This window comes from Homo sapiens, chromosome 12 (genome assembly GCF_000001405.40).
Source record: "Homo sapiens chromosome 12, GRCh38.p14 Primary Assembly".
Lineage (NCBI taxonomy): Eukaryota > Metazoa > Chordata > Mammalia > Primates > Hominidae > Homo > Homo sapiens.
Genome location: NC_000012.12, coordinates 123167879 through 123194335, shown reverse-complemented (window position 1 = coordinate 123194335; position 26457 = coordinate 123167879). Strand labels below are relative to the sequence as shown.

The window sequence follows — 26457 nt, the reverse complement described above, 5'->3', positions numbered from 1 at the left end:
TAGGTATTATACTCTTACAAGTGATTATGACTTTCTAGGCTTATTTTATTATTTATTGATTTATTTTGAGACAGAGTCTCACTCTGACACCCAGGCTGGAGTGCAGTGGCAGGAGCTCAACTCACTGCAGCCTCCACCTCCCGGGCTCAAGAGATCTTCTCGCCTCAGCCTCCCAAGTAGCTGGAATTACAGGAGCCCACCACTGCGCCCGGCTAATTTTTGTATTGTTAGTAAAGACAGGGTTTCCCCATGTTGGCCTGGCTGGTCTCGAACTCCTGACCTCAGGTGATCCGCCCGCCTCAGCCTCCCAAAGTCCTGGGATTACAGGTATCAGCCACTATGTCCGGCCTTTATTTTAGTTTTACATAACTTTGCAGCAACTGTGAATATGTACCTTCCTGATGGAGTCAATTGGGTCTTGCTTTGCAGCACGAAGTCAGATACTTAGAACGATGGCATCACTCCCATATCTTTTCTGTTTCTAGCAGGTCAACTTAAAAAAAAAAAAAAAACTGTGTCTGCATCAGGTCAACTTTCAAGCTATCTTAACATTTGTGTGTCTGGCAGGATAAAATGCTATGAACAGATTTAGAGCAAGTTTGATTAAATTTTTTCACTTTGATATAATTTCACTTAAAATTTGGATTTGTATAACATTGAAACCAGATTAGGTTTCAGGTTGCTTATTTTTTTCTAAATTTTTCTTTCTTTTTGTTCTTAGAAACAGGGTCTCGCCATGTTGCCCAGGCTGGCCTCAAGCTCTTGGGCTCAAGCATTCTCCTTTCAGCCTTCTGAGTAGCTGGGTCTACACGTGTGTGCCACTGCACCTGGCTTCTAAATTTTTCTTAACATCGTTTTTCAGGATATTACAATACATGAGTAATCTGAAAGTATTTAGGCTGTTGAAATTTTCTGATTGCTTTAGATTTGCATCTCATGAAAAACAGCAGTCTTCCCTACCTACCTTTTAGTATCCTACCCTAGAGGCTGTTACTTTCAGCTCTTTTAGCTATTTCTTCTAGCATTTTCCTCCATGTTTACAAATAATATTCTTATATTGCACTCTCATTTTTTTTTCCATCTATTTCAGACATACTGACTTTCTCCCATGCAGGGTCACAGTGTGGCTTTCTTACACCATTTGCTGCAACACAGACACTTCTCCTGCTCCTTCCCATGTGGTTCGTGTGTGTGTGTGTGTGTGTGTGTGTGTGTGTGTGTGTGTGTATATATATATATTTTTTTTTTTTTTTTTTTTTTTTTTGAAAGACAATCCCTCTCTGTCGCCCAGGCTGGAGTGCAGTGGCGTGATTTTGGCTCACTACAAACTCTGCCTCCCAGGTTCAAGCAATTCTCCTGCCTCAGCCTCCTGAGTAGCTGGGAGTACAGGCGCGTGCCACCAGCTAATTTTTGTATTTTTAGTAGAGATGTGATTTCACCATGCTGGCCAGGCTGGTCTCGATTTCTTGACCTCTTGATCCGCCCACCTGAGTGCGGGATTACAGGCCTGAAGCAGTATTTTTTTCTTTTAGTAATTTGTAAAATAATGGTGTGATATATAATCAATGGTGTCTTAAAATGGAAATTATACATCATTTATTACAGCTGTATAAATATTGTTCACAGTTAAGCTATGGTGGTATACTGTAATTACATATTACATTTCCTTTTCTCTCTGTTTTTTTTTTTTTTTTTTTTTTTTTTTTTGAGACGGTGTCTCACTCTGTTGCCCAGGCTGGAGTGCAGTGGTGCGATCACAGCTTACTGAAGCCTCAACCTCCGCGGGCTCAGGTGATTCTTCCACCTTGGCTTCCAAAGTTGCTAGGACCATAGGCACATGCCACTATGCCCTGACAATTATTTAACTTTTTTTTTTTTTTTTGAGATGGAGTCTTGCTTGGTTGCCCACGCTGGAGTGCAGTGGCATGATCTTGACTCACTGCAACCTCTGCCTCCCGGGTTCAAGTGATGCTTCTGCCTCAGCCTCCTGAGTAGCTGGGATTACAGGTGCACGCCACCACACTTGGCTAATTTTTGTATCATTGGTAGAGACAGGGTTTCGCCATGTTGCCCAGGCTGGTCTCAAACTCCTGGGCTCAAGCGTTCCTCCTGCCTCAGCCTCTCAAAGTGCAGGGATTACAGGGATTACAGGCATGTGCCACTGCACCCAGCCTTTTTCTCATTAAGCTTTTACCTCCTAGTTTTAGCTTCCATTGAGGAGTCTTGCCTGAAAGAAGCATGTACTGTGGTGTGTTTTTCTAATTCTGTATTCCTTCTGCATTTGACTGAAAGGAGCTTCCCTCTTTCCTTGACTTATTTATTATTTGCCTTTAGAGACAGGTCCTTGCCCTGTTGCCCAGCCTGGAGTAAGCAATCCTTCTGCCTTAGCCTCCTGAGTAGCTAGGATACTACTACTAAAGTGCATGTCCTTTCTTTGTTATATCAGTAAAGAAGATTGATGGATTCTTATTTTACTCAGTGGATTGCGGTTCTTTACCATGATTATTTTGATACTCATGGTGTCCCAAGTTTGGCCAGTGGGAGACATGTCAGACTGGTCCCGTGTCCTTTTGACTTGCTTTTGTCATTCTTTGAGCATGTCCATATTTCCTGGCACAGCACTATGTTCCAGGCTCATCTTGTACTTTTCCAAGCTCCAGTCCTAGAATCAGTCTCATTTTTTCTGTTGAGTTCTGGTTCCTTTTCATGGAAAATGGTATTCAGACATTAAGATCTGGTGCTAGGCTGAGTGTGATGGCTCATGCCTGTGATCCCAGCACTTTGGGCAGCCGAGGCGGGCAGATCACCTGAGGTCAGCAGTTCGAGACCAGCCTGGCCAACACGGTAAAACCCTTGCCTCTATTAAAAATAAAAAACATTAGCTAGGCGTGGTGATGCACGCCTGTAGTCCAAGCTACTCAGGGTGCTGAGGCAGGAGAATCACTTGAACTGGTACTGAGTATGTTCATTGCTACTGGGATGTCATTGTTTCTTTTTCTTTTTCTTTATTTTTGGAGACGAAGTTTCATTCTTGTTGCCCAGGCTGGAGTGCAATGGTGCAATCTCAGCTCACCACAACCTCCGCCTCTCAGGTTCAAGTGATTCTCCTGCCTCAGCCTCTTGAGTAGCTGGGATTTCAGGCATGTGCCACCATGCCCGGCTAATTTTGTATTTTTGATAGAGATGGGGTTTCTCCATGTTGGTCAGGCTGGTCTCGAACTCCCGACCTCAAGTGATCCACCTGCCTCAGCCTCCCAAAGTGCTGAGATGACAGGCATGAGCCACCGCGCCTGGCCTGGGATGTTATTGTTTCTAATTATTCACAAACCCACCACAGTTATGTTTGAGCAGCAATCAAGCAGCAAAGGATAGCTAGAATGTGTTGTTTTTAGCTGAAATTGTATTAATGTAGACAGTGATACACTGACTTTGCATTTATCATATACAACATTTCAAGCATACAGAAAAGTATAGAGAGTAATATAACAAATACCGTTCTAGCCTTCTCTAGATAGAGTGAAACACTGTCTTCTATTCCTCTCTTCCCCACCCTAGAGGTACTCACTTTGTTAAATGTGCTCTGTTATCCTCATGCAGTTCTTTTTGCTTTTACTACATATGCCTGTGTTTGTAAACAATATTTAGTAATGTTTTATGTGTTCTTAAGCAATGTATGAATTGTATTGCATTGCATATATCCTGCTGCAACCTGGTTTTTCCCTTTCAACATTGTTTCTGAGATTTGCCATGTTGACACATTCAGCTTTTATTGATTCATTTTAATTTAAACATTTACATTTGAAATATCTTAGGTACATAAAAAGATATAGAGAATAATATAATGTACATATGAATCCACCACCTATTTTAAGAAATAAAATACTCCGGCCGGGTGTGGTGGCTTGCACCTGTAATCCCAGTACTTTGGGAGGCCAAGGCAGGTGGATCAGAGTCAGGAGATCAAGACCATCCTGGCTAACACGTTGAAACCCCGTCTCTACTAAAAATACAAAAAATTAGTTGGGCGTGGTGGTGGGCGCCTGTAGTCCCAGCTACTCGGGAGGCTGAGGCAGGAGAATGGTGTAAACCCAGGAGGCGGAGCTTTCAGTGAGCTGAGGTAGCGCCACTGCACTCCAGCCTGGGCGACAGAGCGAGACTCCATCTCAAAAAAAAAAAAAAGAGAAATAAAATACTACAAAATGCAGTTGACATCCCCTGTGCACCCTTTTCTGATCACTTCTGTCTTCCTGGGAGTAACTGATCTAAATTGTGTGAATATCATTACCTTGTCTTTGTATGGTCACATGTGTATGTATGTATCCTTAGTGTTACTTCTTTGGCGTATCTTGAAACTTTTATAAATACTATCAATACTTATTTTTGTTTTTGTTTTTTTTTTTGAGATGGAGTCTCGCTCCATTGCCCAGGCTGGAGTGCAGTGGCACCATCTCGGCTCACTGCAAGCTCCGCCTCCCGGGTTTGTGCCATTCTCCTGCCTCAGCCTCCCTAGTAGCTGGGACTACAGGTGCCCGCCACCACACCTGGCTGATTTTTTTGGTATTTTTAGTAGAGACGGGGTTTCACCGTGTTAGCCAGGATGGTCTCGATCTCCTGACCTCGTGATCCGCCCGCCTCGGCCTCCCAAAGTGCTGGGATTACAGGGGTGAGCCACCGTGCCCGGCCTTAATACTGTCTTTAATGTTATGCAACTTTTTTCACTTGTGAGATTCACCTAACTGGATACATGTAGTAGTAGCACAACTTCATTTCTGTTTATTCCTGTGTCGTCCATCATGTGGCTCTTCCATAGTATATTTATCCACTTTCCTTTTGCCAGTTTGTCATTGCTGTTAGGAGCAATGCTACTATGAACATTTCTTCTATGTGGCTCCTTATGCCAATGTGTGCAAGCGCCTCTAGGGTATTGTTCTAGCTGCCATAGCTCCAAAACTCATAACCTCAAATCTTGACATATTCTGTTCGTGGACTCTGTTGTTCAGGAGCTTGCACTGGGCCCAGCAGGGACAGCCTGTCTGCTCTGCAGTGTCTAGGACCTCAGCTCAAAACTTAAGGACTGGGAGCTGGAATCTTCTGAAGGGCATGTTCCATCATGAATGGTGGCTGTCAGCTAAGGCCACAGTTCCTCTCTATGTGGTTAGGTTGGGTTTCTTTGCAACATGATGGCTTACTACTAAGGACAAGAGTCCTGAAAGAGCATCCCAACAGCTACATTTACATTGCCTTTTATGACCTTGCCTTGGAAACTGTACAGCATCACTTGTACCACATTCTATTTTTTTGAGACAGAGTCTTGCTCTGTCATTCAAGCTGGAGTGTAGTGGCATGATTATAGCTTACTGGAGCCTTGAAGTTCTGGGCTCAAGTGATCTTCCTGCCTCAGCCCTCTGAGTAGCTAGGACTATAGGCATACGCCACCACACCTGGCTAATTATTTATTTTTATGTTTACTCTTTATTTTATTTTTTTGAGAAGGAGTTTTGCTTTTGTTGCCCAGGCAGGAGTGCAGTGGCGCTATCTCGGCTCACTGCAACCTCTGCCTCCCAGGTTCAAGCGATTCCCCTGCCTTAGCCTACCATGTAGCTGGGAGTACAGGTGTGCACCACCATGCCTGGCTAATTTTTTGTATTTTAGTAGAGATGGGTTTTCACAGTTTTTGCCAGGGTGGTCTCGATCTCCTGACCTCAGGTGATCCGCCCACCTCAGCCTCCCAAAGTGCTGGGATTACAGGCGTGAGCCACCGTGCCTGGCCTCTATTCTATTTTTTAAACAATTCCAAAGTCCTGCATAGGTTCAAGGGGAGGGAAAATGGATACCATCTCTTAATGGAACACAGCAAGGTTCTGCAAGAGCTTATGGGTCTGGAAATATTGCTGTGGCTGTTACTGGGAAATATAGCCTGTTATAATAGTCTCTTTCTCTGAATGCAGTGGTTGGGACATAGAATATGAGCTTTGTTATCTTTTTTAGATATTGCTAAATTGCTCTCTGAAATGGTTGTACCAGTTTATTTTCCTGCCAGTAGTGTATGATAATTCTTATTTTTCTAGATTATTTCCAGTGCTTGGTATTGTCAAGCCTTTTAATTTTTCAAGTGTGATTAAGAGGAAATGGTTATACGTATTGCATCCATCTTCTTTTGGTATTTTTATGGGATACAAGTTTTGGGTGTTTTTTGTTTGTTTGTTTTTGAGATGGAGTCTTGCTCTTGTTGTACAGGCTGGAGTGCAATGGCGCAATCTTGGTTCACTGCAACCTCTGCCTCCCGGCTTCAAGCAATCTCTTGCCTCAACCTCCTGAATAGCTGGGATTACAGGCACCCACCACCATGCCTCACTAATTCTTTTTGTATTTTTACTAGAGACAGTTTCACCATGTTGGCCAGGCTGGTCTTGAACTCCTGAACTCAGGTGATTCACCCGCCTCAGTCTACCAAAGTGTTGGGATTACAGGTGCGAGCCACGGCGCCCAGCCCAGAATTACCTCTTACGTAATATATGGTATGAGTAGGAATTGAACTTGATCCTCCCTGCCTCCAATGATTAACCAGTTGTCCCAGAATCATTTTTAAATAGATTTTCCTTCCCTTACTGACTTCTGTTGTACATTTTATTTCCTTCTCGTGTAAATCTCCTTTGAGGCTCTGAGCTGTTCCATTGGTCTGTCTCTGAATTGGAACCACATCATGTAAATTATTAGTATTTTATAACAAGTGTTGATTTTTGGTGCCATTTCCTTATCTCGTTTTTTTGCTCTTGTAAAAATTATTTTGCCTATTTCTTGGCTTTGTTTTGTTTCATACAAATATTACTGTCAGCATGCCACTCTGCTTTCGATTGGAATTGCACTGAATTTACAGATTTATTTGGAGACAGCTGAGACTTGAAATATTGATTCTTCCCATACATGAACGTGGTTTAAATCTCAAGTATTTTTCTTTTTTAAAAATTAAGGCCTTTTACATCCTTTGTTCATTTTTTTCTCGAGGTATATCATATTCTAGTATTTATGTATTTCTAAATAATGTACTGATATTGTTCGTTCGTTCTTTTTTTTTGAGACAGAGTTTCGCTTTTATTGCCCAAGCTGGAGTGCAATGGCGCAATCTTGGCTACTGCGGCCTCTGCCTCCTGGGTTCAAGTGATTCTCCTACCTCAGCCTACCAAGTAGCTGGGATTATAGGCGAGCACCACAACACCCGGCTAGTTTTTTGTATTTTTGGTAGAAACAGGGTTTCACCATGTTAGCCATGGCTGGTCTCGGACTCCTGACCTCAGGTGATCTGCCCGCCTCAGCCTCCCAAGGTGCTGGGATTACAGGCGAGAGCCACTGCGCCTGGCCTCTTTCTTTCCTTTTTGAGATGGAATCTTGTTCTGTCGCCCAGGCTGGAGTGCAGTGGCATGATCTTGGCTCACTGCAACCTCCACTTCCTGGGTTCAAACAATTCTCTTGCCTCAGCCTCCTGAGTAGCTGGGGTTACAGGCGCGTGCCACCATGCCTAGCTAATTTTTGCATTTTTAGTAGAGATGAGATTTCACCATATTGGCCAGGCTGACCTCGAAATCCTGACCTCAAGTGATCCACTTGCCTCAGCCTCATGAAAGGCTGGGATTACAGGAATGAGCCCCTGTGGCTGGCTCGATATTGTTATTTCTTAAATTTTACATATTATCTATAATTGTGGTGGGTGAAGATCTAGGTCCTAGCTGAAGATGAAGATCTAGATCCTAACTGTGATTCTGGGTGTATGTTTTCTTCAGATTTGAAGGCTTTGTTTTATTGCCTATGACATGATCAATTCTTTTCCTTTCTCTCCCCTCCCATGGCTTTCAAAGTTTCAAGCCTGCAGAAAAATTGTAAGAATGATACAATGAAAACCCTTGTATATTCTTTACCTAGATTTACCAGTTGTGAGTATCTTACAGCATTGCTTTGTCTTCATAGAGATATAAACTTTTTTCTTTTGCTGAACTATATTTGAGAGTAAATTAGACACTATGATAATTTACCCTTAAATACCTCAATAGGTATCTCTGAAGAACAGAGATATTCTCCTGTGTAATCTCTTTTTTTTTTTTTTTTTTTTTTTTGAGACGGAGTTTTGCTCTTATTGCCCAGGCTGGAGTGCAATGGCACGATCTCAGCTCACCACAACCTCCGCCTCCCGGGTTCAAGCAATGCTCCCGCCTCAGCCTCCCAAGTAGCTGAGATTACAGGCGCACACCACCCCATGCCCAGCTAATTTTTGTATTTTTAGTAGAAACGGGGTTTCACCATGTTGGTCAGGCTGGTCTCGAACTCCTGACCTCGTGATCCACCCGCCTCGGCCTCCCAAAGTGCTAAGGATTACAGGCTTGAGCCACCATGCCCGGCCTCTCCTGTGTAATCTCAATGTACTTTTCATCCTCAGGAAATTTAACATTGATATAATACTAATATGTAAATACATTCTGTCTATATTCAAATGTTGCCAGTTGTCTAAATAATATCCTTTATAGATGTATTGTTTTTTGCTTTTTAATCCAGAATCCAATCAAGGATCACACATTGCATTTATTGTTATCATTTCTTTGAGACAGGATCTCACTCTGTCACCCAGGCTGGAGTACAGTAGGCATATTCATAGCTCACTGCAGCCTCAACCTCCAGGGCTCAAGTGATCCTCTTACCTCAGCCTCTCCGACTGCTGAGACTACAGACACTACAGGCTATCACACCTGGCTAATTTTATTTTTTTGTAGAGATGCGGTCTCACTATGTTGCTCTTGCTGGTCTCCAACTCCTGAGCTCAAGCGATACTCCCACACTGGCCTCCCAAAGTGCTGGGATTACAGGCATGAGCCAATGTGCCTGGCCCACATTGCATTTAGTAATCATGTTTCTCATTCCTTTCTAATGTGGTTCTTTTTTTCTCTTTCTGGAAGTTTTTTAGGATCATCTTTTTATCCTTGGTATGCCGAAATTTTGTAACAATATTTTTTTTTTTTTTAGTTTCTAACAACTCTTTTTCTGATTGATCATTTTTAATAGCTTTCTATTCCTGTTTTGAATCTAATGTTGTTATTTCTTTGAGAATATTATGGCTTCCATTGGACTGTTTCTGTAGTTTTCATTATTCTGAGTTAAGCTTTTGTTTTCATTTGAAGTATCTTTCATATTTAATGTCTTTTTCCAAGTGTTGGTTCTTTTGCAGGCTCACATTTAAGAGGCACTAGGCTGGGTGTGGTGGCTCACGCCTATAATCTCAGTGCTTTGGGAGGCTGAGACGGGTGGATCACTTGAGGCCAGGAATTTGAGACCAGCCTGGCCAACATGGTGAAACCCTGTCTCTACTAAAACTACAAAAATTAGCTGGGTGTGATGGTGCACATCTATAATCCCAGCTACTCGGGAGGCAGAAGCATGAGAATTGCTTGAACCCAAGAAGTGGAGATTGCAGTGAGTTGAGATCACACCACTGCACACCAGCCTGGGTGACAGAGTGAGACTCTGTCTCAAAAGATAAAAATTAAATTAAATAGGCCGGGCACGGTGGCTCATGCCTGTAATCCCAGCACTTTGGGAGGCCGAGGCGGGTAGATCACAAGGTCAGGAGATGGAGACCGTCCTTGCTAACATGGTGAAACCCCGTCTCTACTAAAAATACAAAAAAATTAGCTGGGCGTGGTAGCGGATGCCTGTAGTCCCAGCTACTCAGGGGACTGAGGCAGGAGAATGGCGTGAACCCGGGAGGCGGAGCTTGCAGTGAGTAGAGATCACGCTACTGCACTCCAGCCTGGGCGACAGAGCAAGACTCCATCTCAAGAAAAAAAAAAAAAATTAAATTAAAGCGAAGCAGTATAAAAAGCTATTGAAAGACTCTTAAGTGTATGGATGGGACTTAGTTCCTGGTAGCCTTCATTTTCAGGCGATTGTAGAGTCATGCACCAGCCATTTTGTTAGGGGACCTCCAGATGTGAATGTTTAGAAGGTTTTTTTTCTGGGGTTGTTCAGTTTTCGTAAAGACAGGTCTTACAGTCTCTTGCCTGGGACCTATCAGTCAGATTCTGGCAGTGGAGGAGGGGGAGGTCACCTTTTTTCAAAAGAAAATTATTTGTTAATATATTTATTTTAGAGACAGGTCTCACCTTGTCACCGAGACTGGAGTGCAGTGGTGTGATCATAGCTCACTGCATCTTCAAACCCCTGGGCTCGAGGAATCTTCCTGCCTCAGCCTCCCCAGTAGCTGGGACTACAGGCACATGCCACCAGACCTGGCTAATTTTTAAATTTTTTGTAGAGATGGGGTCTTGCTATATTGCGCAGGCTGGTCTCCAACTCCTGGGCTCAAGTAATCTTCCTCGGCCTCTCAAAGTGCTATGATTATAGGTGTGACCTGCCCTGGGTGTTTTTGAAGTCTTTTACTTTGTCATTTTCTCTTTATCCTCTGCCTCCCACTCCACTATTATCCTTGGATTTCCAAAGTTCCATTTTTCTCCCCATTCATTTTCTCCTGCTGTCCTGCCACCTGGCTGAACAGTCTACTGCTGTATGGGATGTGTCCTGGGCTCTGATTACTTAAGGAATTTCAACCAGTTTTCTGTGGTCAGCCCTGTGCCTCAACCCTGTCCATCTCTAAACCTGGGTTTCAAGGTGGGCATCTCTCACAGTTATGCTGACATCAGCCTGCTTTTCATCAGCATTTCTGGATTCAGGCACTTGGGGTTGTATCCACTTCCACCCTGCTAAGGCACTTTTTTCCTTTTTCTTTTTTTTTTTTTTTTTTTTTTTGAGACAGAGTCTTGCTCTGTCACCTTGGCTGGGGTGCAGTGGCACCATCTCGGTTCACTGCAACCTCTGCCTTCCAAGTTCAAGCAATTTTCCTGCCTCAGCCTCCTGAGTAGCTGGGACTACAGGCACGTGCCACCACACCTGACTAATTTTTGTATTTTTAGTAGAGACGGGGTTTCGCTATGTTAGCCAGGCTGGTCTTGAACTCCTGACCTCAGATGATCCACCTGCCTCGGCCTCCCAAAGTGCTGAGATTACAGGTGTGAGCTACCACGCCCGGCCAGCACTTTGTTTCTTTTCAATTTTCTAAGACTTTATTGAAATCTCTCACCTGTTACTGTCACCTCGTTTGTTTTCTCTTTAATTTCTTCATTGTTAGTTTAGTGGACTCTGAGGGTGAAGAGAAGAAAATTCTGTTATTAATTTGTCATCTTTAACCAGAAATCTCACATATGTGTTCTTATATTTATTTATTTTTATTTTTTAAAATATTTTTGGTAGAGACGGAGTTTTACCATATTGGCCAGGCTGGTCTTGAACTCCTGACCTCAAGTGATCCACCTGCCTCAGCCTCCCAAAGTGCTGGGATTACAGGCGTCAGCTACCACGCCCGGCCTCTTATTTATTTATTTTTGAGACAAGATGTCACTCTGTCACCCAGGCTGGAGTGCGGTGGTGCCCTCTCAGCTCACTACAACCTACGCCTCCTGGGTTCAAGCAGTTCTCCCACCTCAGCCACCCAAGTAGGCAGGATTACAGGCACGCGCCACCACACCCAGCTAATTTTTTTGTATTTTTAGTAGAGACAAGGTTTCGCTATGTTGGCCAGGCTGGTCTCGAACTCCTGACCTCAAGTGATCCACCCACCTTGGCCTCCCACAGTGCTGGGATTACAGGCATGAGCCACCATGCCCAGCCTCACATATATATATTTTTAAATAAAGACTTTGGCATTGTGCTTTTACTAGGTAGAACTAATTTAGCAAAAAGTAATATACAATAGGCCAGGCGTGGTGGCTCAAGCCTGTAATCCCAGCACTTTGGCAGGCCAAGGCATGTGGATCACTTGAGGTCAGGAGTTTGAGACAAGCCTGGCCAACATGATGAGACGCCATCTAATACAAAAATTAGCTGAGCATGGTGGCATACGCCTGTAATCCCAGCTACTTGGGAAGCTGAGGTGGGAGAATTGCTTGAACCCAGGAGGCAAAGTTTGCAGTGAGCTGAGAACACGCCACTGCACTTCAACCTAGGTGATGGAGCAAGACTCCATCAAAAAAAAAAAACAAAAAAAAAAACACAAAAAAAACACCGGGCATGATGGCTCACGCCTGTAATCCTAGCACTTTGGGAGGCTGAGGCGGGCGGATCATGAGGTCAAGAGATCAAGACCATCCTGGCCAACATGGTGAAACCCCGTCTTTACTAAAAATACAAAAATTAGCCGGGCATGGTGGCGTGCGCCTGTAGTCCCAGCTACTCGGGAGGCTGAGGCAGGAGAATTGCTTGAACCCGGGAGGCAGAGGTTGCAGTGAGCCACTGTACTCCAGCCTGGCGACAGAGCGACTCCATCTAAAGAAAAAAAAAAAAAGTAATAGTTCCAAAAAGAGCAATGCAAATTTTAGTCTTTTAAAATACTTACATGGTATTGATATTTTATTTTGAGACAGGGTCTCGCTCTGTGGCCCAGGCTAGAGTGCAGTGGTGCAATCTCACTGCAAGCCTCACTACAAGCTCACTGCAGTCTCAACCTCCCAGGCTCAAGTGAGCCTCCTGAGTCTGTAAGCATATATCCCCATGTTCAGCTATTTTTTTTTAAGACGGGGTCTCTCTTTGTCCCCCAGGTTAGAGTACAGTGGCACGATCATAGCACACTGTAGCCTTGAACTCTTGAGCTTTCAGGCTCAAGCAATACTTCCACCTCAGCCTCCCAAAGTGCTAGGATTACAGGCGTGAGCCACCGAGCCCAGCTTTTGTTTTTTTTTTGTTTTTGTTTTTGTTTTTGAAGAGACGAGGTCTCGCTCTGTTCCCTAGGTTGGTCTCCAGCTCCTAGCCTCAAGTGATCCTCTGTCCTCAGCCTCCCAAAGTGTTGAGATTATGGGTGTGAGCCACCGCATCCAGCTTTATTTTGAAATAATATCAAATGTACAGAAACCATTCCAGAAATTGAGAATTGTCCCATTCCCTTTACATTGAATCACCAGTTCTCTATTGACCTTTCTCTTTCATGACATTGGCATTTTTGAAGGCTATAGGCAGTTATTTTGTAGACTGTACCTCAGTTGATAGAATAACGTTTAATTTTGTGGTATAATTTTTTTTTGTTTTTCCTTGTAGCTTTTAGGAGAGTATGAGTCCCTTGGAAAAGAACACAGGAGAGTAAAGGTAAGGGGTAATGGTTCATGTTCTAGATTTCATGCAGAGGCAGAAACATTGGATTGGGAATCAAGGGATCTGACTCTTCTCCTCCTTGCACCCCTTCCTGAACCTCCGTAGCTGTTGAACTGGAACCTTGCTTATCCTGTTTCAGTATCCTTATTTTCAAATACCTGCCCCATTTAACTCACAAGTTTGTTAGATTCATTAATCTGACAAATATTTATTGAATGGCTATTGCATTTGAAATGAAATTGTTCAAAAGAGTATAAGGTACCATACAGATGCAAATTATTATTTAATACTGTTTGTTTTGTGACACCCAGGTTGGAGTGCAGTGGTGTGATCTCGGCTCACCACAACCTCTGCCTCCTGGGTTCAAGCGATTCTTCTGCCTTAGCCTCCTGAGTAGCTGGGATTACAGGTGTGCGCCACCATGCCCAGCTAATTTTTATATTTTTAGTAGAGACAGGATTTCACCATGTTGGCCAGGCTGGTCTCCAGTTCCTGACCTCAAGTGGTCCACCTGTGTCAGCCTCCCTGAGTGCTGGGATTATGGGCATGAGCCACTGCACCCAGCCATTTAATACTGATTAAATATCAAGCTTTGATTTTCACTGCATTAGCTTTTGGTAGGGTTGAGTTTATCAATTATGTTTGAATTCTTTTTGAAAGCTCTGTTTGGAGACTACATATTTGCATTCAGTAAAACCCTTCGACGATGGTGTAAGTGGGGCCCAAGTATTTCTGTTGCATAGAATGGAGGGTTGTGGTTATTGAAGCTCAGCAAAAAGGCCTGCATAGCTTGGCTGCCAAAGCATTCTGAGGGTTCGGGAGCAGATCCCATGATATCTAAATCTCATTGAAAATATTTGTTTTACCATCCTTCTGAGGTTTTAGTCAAGTTATTTTAACACTGATTTGTTTCTAATTAAGCAAAGTATAAAGGGCTGTATCTGTTACCCAGGGGACTTACACAGAGGGACTTGTGTAGGCCGGTGCTTTGCTCTCATTTGTTTTCCTTGAACTGTTGGTCCTGGCTGTATGGTTGATGCCATACTTGCTGAGTATGGTTTGTAGCTAGTTGGTTTAGCCTTAGATTCATTTTCTTTTATGCATTTTAAAATAATTCATGTGAATATTTGTCTTCAGTTATCTGAATTTCTCCTTTATTTCCATAGGATGCATTAAATACAACTGAGAACAAATTGCTTGATGCATATACTCAGATTTCTGATTTGAAAAGGTAAAATGTATTAACTTACTAATGTACACATACCTCAATTGTTCTTTTATGTGTCTGTATTGAACATGATGAGAAGGAAGTTTTTCTTGAGGATTTTTAAGCAGTTTGAGAACTAGTTTTGTCTTAATTTTCCCTTGACATGGAAATAGGTTTCATTTTAGCCAAACAAGATTTCTTCTCTCTCTCTCTCTTTTTTTTTTTTTTTTTTTAAAGAGACAGGGTCTCACTATGTTGCCTAGATTGGCTGTGAATTCCTGGGCTCAAGCAGTCTTCCTGCCTTGGCTTCCTGAATAGTTGGGACTACAGGCACTCATCATCATGCCTGGCTGATTTTTTGTTGTTGTTGTTGTTGATACAGAGTCTTACTCTGTCACGCAGGCTGGAGTGCAGTGGCACAATCTTGGCTCACTGCAACCTCCTCCTCTTGGGTTCAAGCAATTCTCCTGCCTCAGCCTCCCGAGTAGCTGGGACTACAGGAGTGTACCACCACACCCAGCTAATTTTTTGTATTTTTGATAGAGACAGGGTTTCGCCATGTTGGCCAGACTGGTCTTGAACTCCTGACCTCAAGTGATCCGCCTGCCTCGGCTTGCCAAGGTGCTGGGATTCAGGCATAAGCCACGGAGCCCGGCAAGCCTGGCTGATTTTTAAAAACTTTTTTTAGAAGTAAGATCTTGCTGTGTTGCCCTGACTGGTCTCAGATCTCTCGACCTCAAGTGATCCTCTCGTCTCATCCACAAAAAGTGCTGGGATTACAGGCATGCGCTACTGCACCTGGCTTCAAACAACATGTTTTAAGTAATTAAAATGTACTGATGGTTGTGCCTCAGAGGTGGATATTTTCCCAAACATTATGTATTTTCTCAGCATAGGTTAAAATCCAAATGATATTTAACCACTGGCAAGAACTTTAAGAAGCAGCCTAGTTCACAGAATTATTTTGGTGCTTCAAAAAGAAAACAGCATTAACACCAAAATTATGGTCATCTACTTTCAGAAAGACCGGTTGGAGACTGTATTAATGATCTGATTTGTTTAATTAGGTAGGGACAGAATCGTAAATGGTAGTATCCATTGCAAATGATTAGAAATATCCAAACTGGGCTGGGTGCAGTGGCTCACGCCTATAATCTCAGCACTTTGGGAGGCTGAGGTGGGAAGATTACCTGAGGTCAGGAGTTCAAGACCAGCCTGGCTAACATGGCAAAACCCTGTCTCTACTAAAAATACAAAAATTAGCTGGGCATGGTGGTGCACACCTGTAATCCCTGCTACTCAGGAGGGTGAGGCAGGAGAATCGCTTGAACTCTGGAGACGGAGGTTGCAGTGAGCCAAGATCACGCCACTGCACTCCAGCCTGGGTGACAGAGCAAGACTCTCCCCTCCCCACCAAAAAAATGAAAGATAGAAAAGAGAAATATTTAAACTAGTTCAAGAGCAAATTTTATGTTTGTATTTGGATATAAGTAACGTCCCTTATTTAGACATTTTACTGCAGTCTTAAGGAGTTCTCATAGAGAAGAACAGAAATGCTGTCTAGGTTTCTCATCTGCCACTCTTCTGTGATTCATTCAGTTCTAGTGATAGCTTTCTTATCAGATTGTTATAAAACATCAGTCTTGTTAGGGCTATTATTTCTCAAATCTTCCTTGCATCAAAGTAGGTAAGAATTCGAGTTTGAAAGATAAGATGAAGTCATACACAGAGCTTAAAAGAACAAGCCAGGCATGGCGGTATGCACCAGTACTCCCAGCTGCTTGGGAGACTGAGGCAGGAGCATCTCTTAAGCACAGGGGTTTGAGGCTGCAGCAAGCAATGATCATGCCAGTGCACTCCAGCCTGGGTGACCGAGCGAGACCTCATCTCTTAAAGGGGGGAAAAAAGAACAGCATGAATGCCAGGATATCTTTAAAATAGTCAGTTGGCCAGAGTAGTTATTTCCTGTTGGTAAACTTGAAAATAGGCTTTTATTTTGAACATGGCACAAATCAGATGAAATACCTATAGGTTGTTTGCAATATTTTAGCCTTGGCCTCTTTTTAAAAATTAGAAAGGTTTTTTTTTTTTTTTGAAATTTTTTTGGTAAAAGTTCTGTTTTTGGAAGTTAAGCCTGCTTCCTTGTTTGTGAAAGTGTTACCTATTGTATGCATGGTTATATACATATTAGGATTAAACACATTAGAATGCAGTTTATTTGACAATTTTATGTTTATTTATAAATGTTATGTTTTGATCTGTAGTCAAATTTATATAACTTGCGATATTAAGTCCATTTGTTCCCTTTTTATTCAGTTGTATGGGAAATGTTCCTTTGTAGAGTTTTAATGTATTTGTTTTTCTGTTTTTCTATTTATATTCACTGATTTTTGTTTAGCTTTTATTTTTTTTTTGAGACAAAGTCTTGCTCTGTTGCCCAGGCTGGAGTAAAGTGGTGTGATAACGGCTCACTGCAACCTCCGCCTCCCGGGTTCAAGCCGATTCTCCTGCCTCAGTCTCCCAAGTAGCTGGGATTACAGGCGCATGCCACCACACCTGGCTGATTTTTGTATTTTTAGTAGAGATGGGGGTTTCACCATGCTGGCCAGGCTGGGCTCGAACTCCTGACATCAGATGGTCCACCCACCTCGGCCTCCCAAAGTGCTGGGATTACAGGCGTGAGCCACTGCACCTGGCTTATTTAGCTTTTTAAATAATGGTGATGTTTTACTATGAAAAATGTTTATGGACTTGCAACTCTTTTTTTGTGTGTGACGGAGTCTCACTCTGTCGCCAGGCTGGTGCGATCTCGGCTCACTGCAATATCCACCTCCCTGGTTCAAGTGATTCTCCTGCCTCAGCCCCCCGAGTAGCTGGGACTACAGGTGTACACCGCCATGCCCAGCTAATTTTTGTATTTTTAGTAGAGACAGGGTTTCACCATATTGACCAGGATGTTCTCCATCTCTTGACCTTGTGATCCACCTGCCTCCGCCTCCCAAAGTGCTGGGATTACAGGGGTGAGCCACCATTCCCGGCCATGGACTTGCAACTCTTTTACCACCCATTTTTTAGGAGGGTCTGTTAAATAAACTGTGGTTGAGCTATATTTTACATTTGTTGAAATGTACTTAATTTATCTTTATTGCTTTTGAATTAGAATGATTTCAAAACTTGAAGCTCAGGTCAAGCAAGTAGAACATGAAAATATGTTAAGCCTTCGTCATAATTCTAGAATTCACGTGAGACCCTCGCGTGCCAAGTAAGTTATTTCATTTACTCTCTATAAAGCTAGAAATAGGTGCATGCTTTTATTAAGACGAGAAACTCATCTGTCTAAATCATAAGAAAGTCCGGGTTAAATGTCATTACAGAACTTAAATGTGTTAGATTAATTACTGAACATTGTAAACCCTCTTATGCAGAGGCATTTGCTAAAATGAGGAAATATCTTAGGATCAAATTGGGATCCTTGGAATGTATTTTGTTCTTTGCCCAGCTGTGTGACCTTAGGCAAGTCACTTACCTTTTTTGGAATTCATTTTTCTTATCTGTAAAAATAAGGACAAGGGGCTAGAACATCTCAAAAGGTCTTTTAGCCCTAAAATTTCAGACATTTTATTCCTATGTTAATGGAAGGAACTATGAAGATGGATCTTCATTAGGTTGTATGGGTTTTCTTTCTAGTTTTTTTAGTTCTTTCAGAATTAGCTTGGCTATAATCTCAACATTGTCTTGGTGATACCCTTACAGAATACATTATTTTTATATTAGATCTGAATTTTATTATGATTTGGGTGTAAATAAAGAATATTAATAAGTAAATAATAACTTTATAATGACATTTATTAGAAAAATGATTTTAAATTGTAATTTGTGACCCAAGTTGTAATTGTCAAATGAGGAGCTTTTTCTAGGGCCGGGCACAGTGGTTCACGTCTGTAATTCCAGAATTTTGGAAAGCCAAGGTGGGAGGATCGCTAGAGTCCAGGAGTTCGAGACCAGTCTGGGCAACATGGCGAGAGCCCATCTCTATAAAATAAAATAAATTGTAAGAGAAGATTTTTCTAGGTCTTTGTTAATTAATCTTAGTAGAACATAGGAAATTCTTTTTTTTTTTTTTTTTTTAAAGAAAAGATGTAAGTAACAAATTGAACATTTGAGAGAGATAAAAGAGAGAGCTTCGGGTTGGGGACCAGGGAAGGCCTTTCTTTAGAGGAGGCTCATAAGCAGAGGAGTCACCTGTGCATAGAATTGCTGGAGCAGGAGGTGTGGGGTGAGGGATGGGAGGGTGGGCAGGGTGGGGTGTCTGGGAGGTGGTCCATGCAGAGAAATTGCCTTGGTAAGTCCTCAGGTAGGAAAGAGCTTAGCATATTTGAAGAGCCTAAGGGAGGTTAGTGTGGCCTGAATATTTCCAGCAAGAGGCAAAGTTGCCCTAGATGAAATCAGAGATTGACCATTTATAGCTTTCTAAGCCGTGATCAAGAGTTGGATCTTGGCTGGGCGCCGTGGCTCACGCCTGTAATCCCAGCAGTTTGGGAGGCCGAGGCGGGCGGATCACAAGGTCAGGAGATCGAGACCATCCTGGCTAACACGATGAAACCCTGTCTCTACTAAAAAATACAAAAAAAATTAGCCGGGCGCGGTGGCTGGCGCCTGTAGTCCCAGCTACTCCGGAGGCTGAGGCAGGAGAATGGTGTGAACCCGGGAGGCGGAGCTTGCAGTGAGTCGAGATTGCGCCACTGCACTCCAGCCTGGGAGACAGAGCAAGACTCCGTCTCAGAAAAAAAAAAAAAAGTTAGATCTTGCCCTAAGTCCATTGGGAAGCCTTTGAAGGTTTTTATGTGGTAAAATGATGTTATCTAATTTTTATTAATGTACCTGCCATGAGAAGATGGAGAAGGAAAGAATGGAAGCAGGAGACTAGTTAGTCTGGTGCAGTGCTAGGAGAGAGGTGGTGTTAGCTAGGTGGTGGTCACAGAAATAGACAATAGAGACTCTTCGGGAGAGATTCTAGAGGTAGGATCTATAGGATATGGTTGTGAATTGGATGGCAAGGTAAGAAAGGGAGGTGTTGGAATAATTCCTTGGTTTCTCTCTCAAACAACTAAAGGTACCTAGTTCATGTGTTGAACTTAGGGAAGAGATCAGAATTTCCATCTTGAATATTTTTGTTTGAGATTCATATCGATTCTAAGTGGAAATCAAATAGGCAATTATAAATGAGTTTGGAGCTCAAAAATAAGGTTTTAGGATGGTATGATAAATTTTGGAGTCATGCCGGGTGCGGTGGCTCACGCCTGTAATCCCAGCACTTTGGGAGGCCGAGATGGGCGGATCACGAGGTCAGGAGATCGAGACCATCCTGGCTAACATGGTGAAACCCCATCTCTACTAAAAATACAAAAAATTAGCCGGGTGTGGTGGCGGGCGCCTGTAGTCCCAGCTACTCAGGAGACTGAGGCAGGAGAATGGCGTGAACCCGGGAGGCGGAGCTTGCAGGGAGCCAAGATCGCGCCACTGCATTCCAGCCTGGGCAACTGAGCAAGACTCCGTCTCAAAAAAAAAAAAAAATTGGAGTCGTCTCTTTCTAGATGGTGCGTAAAGTTGTAGAATGGATGTAAACTGAGTGTGTTTAGTGAGAAGTAGGCCTGGGGCAAGAACTCTGACACTGGTGTTGGATAGAGAGAGCTGGCAAAGGAACCCGAGAAAGCGCTGCCAAAAAGCTAGAGGAAAACAAGCAGCCACCGGTATTGAGTGCAAAACCCAACTTGTGTTTCCCTGTGCTCTCACACCAGCACAACAAAAATAGACTCAGAAGACTTTTGTGACCCAGAATGTGTGACATTTCTCCTCACCAGCAAGCGAGCAATCAGTTCTTCATGGGACCTAGCTGGGTGGCCTCCCATTCATCTCTGATACTATCTACCCAGAGATAGGGTCAGATCCCATAAGCTGAGGGCTCAGTCCCCAAGACTTCCCATTTCAGACACCATTTGCAAGTCCAGGCCTCCAAAACGTCTAACCAACTGGCTTCAAGTTGAGGTTCCCACAGCCCTCTCTTTGGGTTTGATTAATTTGCCAGAGTGGCTTATAGAACTCAGAGAATCATGTTTACCAACTTATTACAGATGATATTTTAAAGGATACAAATAAACAACCAGTTGAAGAGATACAGAGTAAGGTCTGGAAGGATCTCCAGCACAGGAGTTTCTTTCCCAGTAGAGCTGGGGTGTGATGCCCCCTCAGTGCGTGGATGAGCTCTTGTTCAGCTCTCCAGAAGCTCTGGAGCCCTGTCCTTTTGGGCATTTTATGGAGGTTTCATTGGACAGGCCTGATTGAAGCTTGGACGACTGTGTTGAAATGTGATTGGACAGAAAGGATGTGATCTAAACCCAGCAAGGCCTTTCTGTTCAGATCCTTCTTGGCCTCTTTGTGCAGCATTCCTTCCCCCAGAGGATGAGGCAGGACCCTCTCTGATTCGAACAAGAGTCTTATGACCCATAATCAGATTAGAGTCCTACCCTGGTAAGGTAAAAGGAAGACAGGAGAAGGTTAGAGATTCTGTTGACTGCAACAAGGGATATGAAAGTTATGAGCCAGGAATTGTGAATGAAAACTGATGTATAATATATGTCATAATCTCACATTGCTGCTTGAGAGATCAAGGTGAAGACTGCAAGGTCTTTGCAAGCTGGAGGCTAATGCTTAGTGAACAGTCTGGATAGAGTGATAACAGTAGAAGCCCATTCAGAGGGTACTCGAGTGAATGCAGGCTGGGCGTGGTGGCTCACGCCTTTAATCCCAGCACTTTGGGAGGCCAAGGCAGGTGGATCACTTGAGGTCAGGAGTTTGAGACCAGCCTGGCCAACATGGCGAAACTCCATCTCTACTAAAAATACAAAAATAAGCCAGGCATAGTGGTGCAGGCCTGTAATCCCAGCTACTCGGGAGGCTGAGGAATCACTTCAACCTGGGAGGCGGAGGTTGCAGTGAGCCAAGATCGCACCACTGCACTCCAGCCTGGGTGACAGAGCACCGCTCTGTCTCAAAAAAAAAAAAAAAAAAAAAAAAAAAAGTGAATGAAAACCTGAAAGTCTAACAGCTGGAATATGGAAAATACTGTCATACACTCAAGCATGACACTGCATCATGACAATGCAGGTGGCAGAGACCGAGTTGGCAGACCCCAGCCTGTGGGGCCACATGTGGCATGAACTACCTGTTTTTGTGAGGCCCCTGAGTAAAGAATGGTTTCTACATTCTTACATGTTTGGGAAAAAAGAATATTTCATGACACATGAAAATTGTATGACGGACTGGGCGTGGTGGCCCACACCTGTAATCCCAGCACTTTGGGAGGCCAAGGCAGGTGGATCACCTGAGGTCAGGAGTTCGAGACCAGCCTGGCCAACATGGCAAAACCCCATCTCTATTAAAAATACAAAAATTAGCTGGGTATGGTGGCATGTGCCTGTAGTCCCAGTTACTCAGGAGGCTGAGGCAGGAGAATCGCTTGAACCTGGAAGGCGGAGGTTCCAGTGAGCCAAGATTACACCACTGCATTCCAGCCTGGGTGAGAAAGTGAGACTCTGTCTCAAAAAAAAAAAAAGAAAGAAAATTGTATAACATTCAAATTTTAGTGTCCACAAATACAATTTTCATGGAATACAAGCTTATTCACTTACATAGCATCTACGGCAGCTTTTGTGCAACAGCAAAGTGGAGTAGTTGCAACAGACACTGGCCCATAAAACCTCAAGTGTTTACTCTCTGGCCCTTTACAGAGAGAATTTGCTGATCCTCAGCTAGACGGTCAACGTGGATTAATCTTAAGGACATAATATGGAACAACAAAAAACTAGTTGCAGAAGAAATAGGATACTATTTATATTGACTTTAGCATGTGAAGCAATTTTGTATTTCTTATGGGTTCATGCAAACATAGTAAACGTATGAAAACGTGCATGGGAATGCTGAACACAAATTTAGTATAAATGGTTGCTTTTGGGAGGGAACGAATGAGATTGGAGAGGTGCACAGGGGCTTTAGTTGTCTTTATAGTGTTCTACTCTTAATTTAAAGAATATATAACCAAGATTTATAAAGCTGGATGGTTGGCATGAATATTACCTGTATGTCTATGTGTGCTTGAGATATATATATAATATATGTTTTTTGTTTGTTTGTTTGTTTGTTTTGAGATGGAGTCTCGCTGTGTCACCCAGGCTGGAGTGCAGTGGCACAATCTCGGCTCACTGTAACCTCTGCTTCCCATGTTCAAGCGATTCTCCTGCCTCAGCTTCCCAAGTAGCTGGGATTACAGGTGCCCACTACCATGCCTGGTTAATTTTTGTATTTTTAGTAGAGATGGGGTTTTGCCATGTCAGCCAAGCTGGTCTCAAACTCCTGACCTCAAGTGATCCGCCCACCTCAGCCTCCCAAAGTGCTGGGATTATAGGCGTGAGCCACAGTTCCTGGCTGATATTTTATTTTAGAGACAAAGTCTCGCTCTGTCACCCAGGCTGGAGTGCAATGGCACAATCTTGGCTCACTGCAACCTTCGCCTCCCAAGTTCAACGATTCTCCCACCTCAGCCTCCCGAGTAGCTGGTACTACAGGCACGTGCCACCATGCCTGCTAATTTGTTGTATTTTTAGTAGAGACGGGGTTTTACCTTGTTGGCCAGGCTGGTCTCGAACTCCTGACCTCAAGTGATCCGCCCGCCTCAGCTTCCCAAAGTGCTGGGATTACAGGCGTGAGCCACTGTACCTGGCCCCGGCTGATATTTTGTATTTTTAAAGTGAACAGGAACGAATAAAGGAAAAGTATCCAGAAGATGAAAGAACTCTTACAAATCAATAAGAAAAAGATAACTTTCTCAACAAAAAATGGTAAAAGAATATAACAAGCAGCGCACAGATCCCTGATGGCTAATAAAAATGAGAACATGTTAATTGTCATGAAAATGCACATTAAAACAATAAGATACAATTCACACCATCGGACAGGTTATATTTAAAATTGAAACACTTTAACGTTTGGCAAAGATATGGAGAGACAGGAACTCTCAAAGTAATGATTGACAGTTGATACAGCTTGTCTGGAGAGTGATTTGGCAACAGTCAGAGAGGTTGAAGATGTGCACCAAATCCCACAGTTGCATGTTAAGATGTTTGCCTTAGAGGAATTTTCACACGTGTTAATTTTAGCATTGTCGAAAGGCTGCATATTAAAAACCATATTTCCACTGCCGGGAGAAAGGACAAATATATTCATACTATGGGTAAATGATAAAAATGAATAGAGCTTATATGTACTAACACAGATAAATTTCAAACATAATATTGAACAGAGAAAGCATTAAAGGCCAGGTGTGGTGGCTCACGTCTATAATTTCAGCATTTTGGGAGGCCAAGGTGGGGAAATTGCTTGAGCCCAGGAGTTTGAGACCAGCCTGGGCAACATGGCAAAACCCTGTCTCTACAAAAAATATAAAAAGTTAGCGGCTAGACACAGTGGCTCACGCCTATAATCCCAGCACTTTGGTAGGCTGAGGCAGGTGGATCATGAGGTCAAGAGTTTGAGACCAGCCTTACCAACATGGTGAAACCCCGTCTCTACTAAAAATACAAAAAAATTAGCCAGATGTGGTGGCACGCAGCTGTCATCCCAGCTACTCACAGGGCTGAGGCAGGAGAATGGTTTGAACCTGAGAGGCGGAGGTTGCAGTGAGCCGACATCGAGCCACTGTACTCCAGCCTGGGTGACAGAGCGAGACTCTGTCTTAAAAAAAAAAAAGCTGGGTGTGGTGGTTGGTGGTACGCGCCTGTAGTCCCAGCTGCTCGGGAGGCTGAGGTGGGAGAATCACTTGAGCCTGAGGGGTCGAGGCTGTACTGAGCCATGATCATGCCACTGCACTTTAGCCTGGGGGACAGGGTAAAACCCTGTCTCAAAAAAAAAAAAAGACATTTAAAAATGTGTATTAATACATTATGCCTTCTGTGTAATTAAATATATAAAAATTGGTCTTATAATTAAAAACAAATTTTGCAAGATCGGGCTGGGCACGTGGCTCACACCTGTAATCCCAGCACTTTGGGAGGCCAAGGTGGGCAGATCACTTAAGGTTAGGAGTTTGGCCAACATGGTGAAACCCCGTCACTTCTAAAAATACAAAAATTAGCTGGGCACAGTGGTGGGCCCCTGTAATCCCAGCAACTGTGGAGGCTGAGGCAGGAGAATTGCTTGAACCTGGTAGGCAGAGGTTGCAGTGAGCTGAGATCACGCCACTGCACTCCAGCCTGGGTGACAGAGGAAAACTCCATCTCAAGAAAAAAAAAAATTGGCAAGATCTTAGCATTTATTAAAACTGAGAATGGGTGAGTAGATGCTTGTTATAGTATTCTTTGTAATTTTCCAAGAATGTTTGAAGATTTTTTTTTTTTTTTAAGACGGAGTCTCGCTCTGTTGCCCAGGCTGAAGTGCAGTGGTGCAATCTCGGCTCACTGCAAACTCCGCCTCCTGGGCTTATGCCATTCTCCTGCCTAAGCCTCCTGAGTAGCTGGGACTACAGGTGCCCGTCACCACACCTGGCTAATTTTTATTTTGCATTTTTAGTAGAGACGGGGTTTCACCATGTTAGCCAGGGTGGTCTCGAGCTCCTGACCTCGTTATCTGCCCGCCTTGGCCTCTCAAAGTGCTAGGATTATAGGCATGAGCCACTGAGCCTGGCCCTGAAATAGTTCTTAATTTAAAAACTGGGCCGGGCGCAGTGGCTCACGCCTGTAATCCCAGCACTTTGGGAGGCCAAGGTGGGTGGATCACGAGGTCAGCAGATCAAGACCATCCTGGCTAATAACATGGTGAAACCCCATCCCTACTAAAAACACAAAAAATTAGCCGGGCGTGGTGGTGGGCGCCTGTAGTCCCAGCTACTCGGGAGTCTGAAGCAGTAGAATGGTGTGAACCCAAGAGGCAGAGCTTGCCGTGAGCCGAGATCGCGCCACTGCACTCCAGCCTGGGCGACAGAGTGAGACTCTGTCTCAAAAAAAAAAAAACTGAGGGAAAGAGTGACTGGAGTTGAAGTGAATGTAGATAGAAGAGGCAGCCTCTAAAATGTTTGGTTGTGAAAGGGGACAGAGAGAAAACAAGAGTTGTTTCATGGTTTCTGGTGTTTCTTTGAATTTGACTCAAAAGTTTCACCTGTCAACGAAGGTGGGATGGGAGGTTTGAGGAGGGTGGAAAGGGTGTGAGATAGTCATGTTTGGAGAACTGAAGCTTGCTGGTTACAGAAAGTCATGTTGCCGGCCGGGTGCGTTGGCGCACACCTGTAATCCCAGCACTTTGGGAGGCTGAGGTGGGCGGATCATGAGGTCAGGAGATCGAGACCATCCTGGCTAACACGGTGAAACCCCGTCTCTACTAAAAATACAAAAAAATTAGCCGGGCGTGGTGGCAGGCGCCTGTAGTCCCAGCTACTTGGGAGGCTGAGGCAGGAGAATCGCTTGAACCTGGGAGGCGGAGCTTGCAGTGAGCCGAGATCACGCCACCGTACTCCAGCCTGGGTGACAGAGCGAGACTCCGTCTCAAAAAAAAAAAAAAAAAAGAAAGTCATGTTGCCAGGCGGTCAGGCGGTTTGGGGTGTCCGCTTGAGGTGGTGATGAGTCTGCCCAGCTGGTGGCTTTTTTCCAGCAAAGCTCAGTGGTAGGAGTTGAGACCTGAAGCGCGGCCTTTGTAGTCAGCCAGTCCTCAGATTTTGCTGCCAGTCAGGTGTGGTGAAAGGTGAGAGAGAAAGTATCGTGAGTGTGGACTTCAGGGTAGATCAAGAGGACCTAGTCAGACTAGGAGGGGTTGATAAATGGAAAATGGAGAGGCCAAGGATCGTAGGTCACGTTGCTGAAGCTTGAGGGCGGGAGGCAGAATAGGGGCACAGTCTTTGGAGTATTGGTTTCTTAAGGGGAGTGTGTTCTCTGGTTTTGACAAAAGCCAGCAAGTACCCTCTGAGGTGGCTGGCTGAGGAGTAGAGGGTCACCTCACTGGAGAGAGTGGTCAGGAAGTTGCCTAGTGTG

General features: G+C 43.8%; 1 protein-coding gene across 25 annotated transcripts in view, besides 1 other annotated feature; it reads left to right on the top strand.

The window, feature by feature from the left end:
• Nucleotides 1–26457, top strand: part of MPHOSPH9 (M-phase phosphoprotein 9) — a 91679-nt gene that overhangs the window by 49667 nt on the left and 15555 nt on the right. For 23 of the 25 annotated variants that reach the window (NR_103517.2, XM_017018673.2, XM_047428066.1 and 20 more), the window contains 3 exons: nucleotides 13126–13173; nucleotides 14346–14410; nucleotides 17547–17648. Coding sequence is in view for 24 of the 25 variants with exons in the window: in XM_017018673.2 (XP_016874162.1) it covers nucleotides 13126–13173; nucleotides 14346–14410; nucleotides 17547–17648 (215 nt within the window). In the remaining variant the exon portion in view is untranslated. The remainder of the gene's footprint in view (nucleotides 1–13125; nucleotides 13174–14345; nucleotides 14411–17546; nucleotides 17649–26457) is intronic. The other 2 variants (XM_047428065.1, XM_047428058.1) reach the window with 1 other exon arrangement.
• Nucleotides 20967–21167: a silencer, noted in NCBI's record as "peak2026 fragment used in MPRA reporter construct". NCBI's record gives its function as "represses an SCP1 promoter by STARR-seq MPRAs in K562 erythroleukemia cells {active_cell/tissue: K562}" and the evidence as "EXISTENCE:reporter gene assay evidence [ECO:0000049][PMID:32103011]".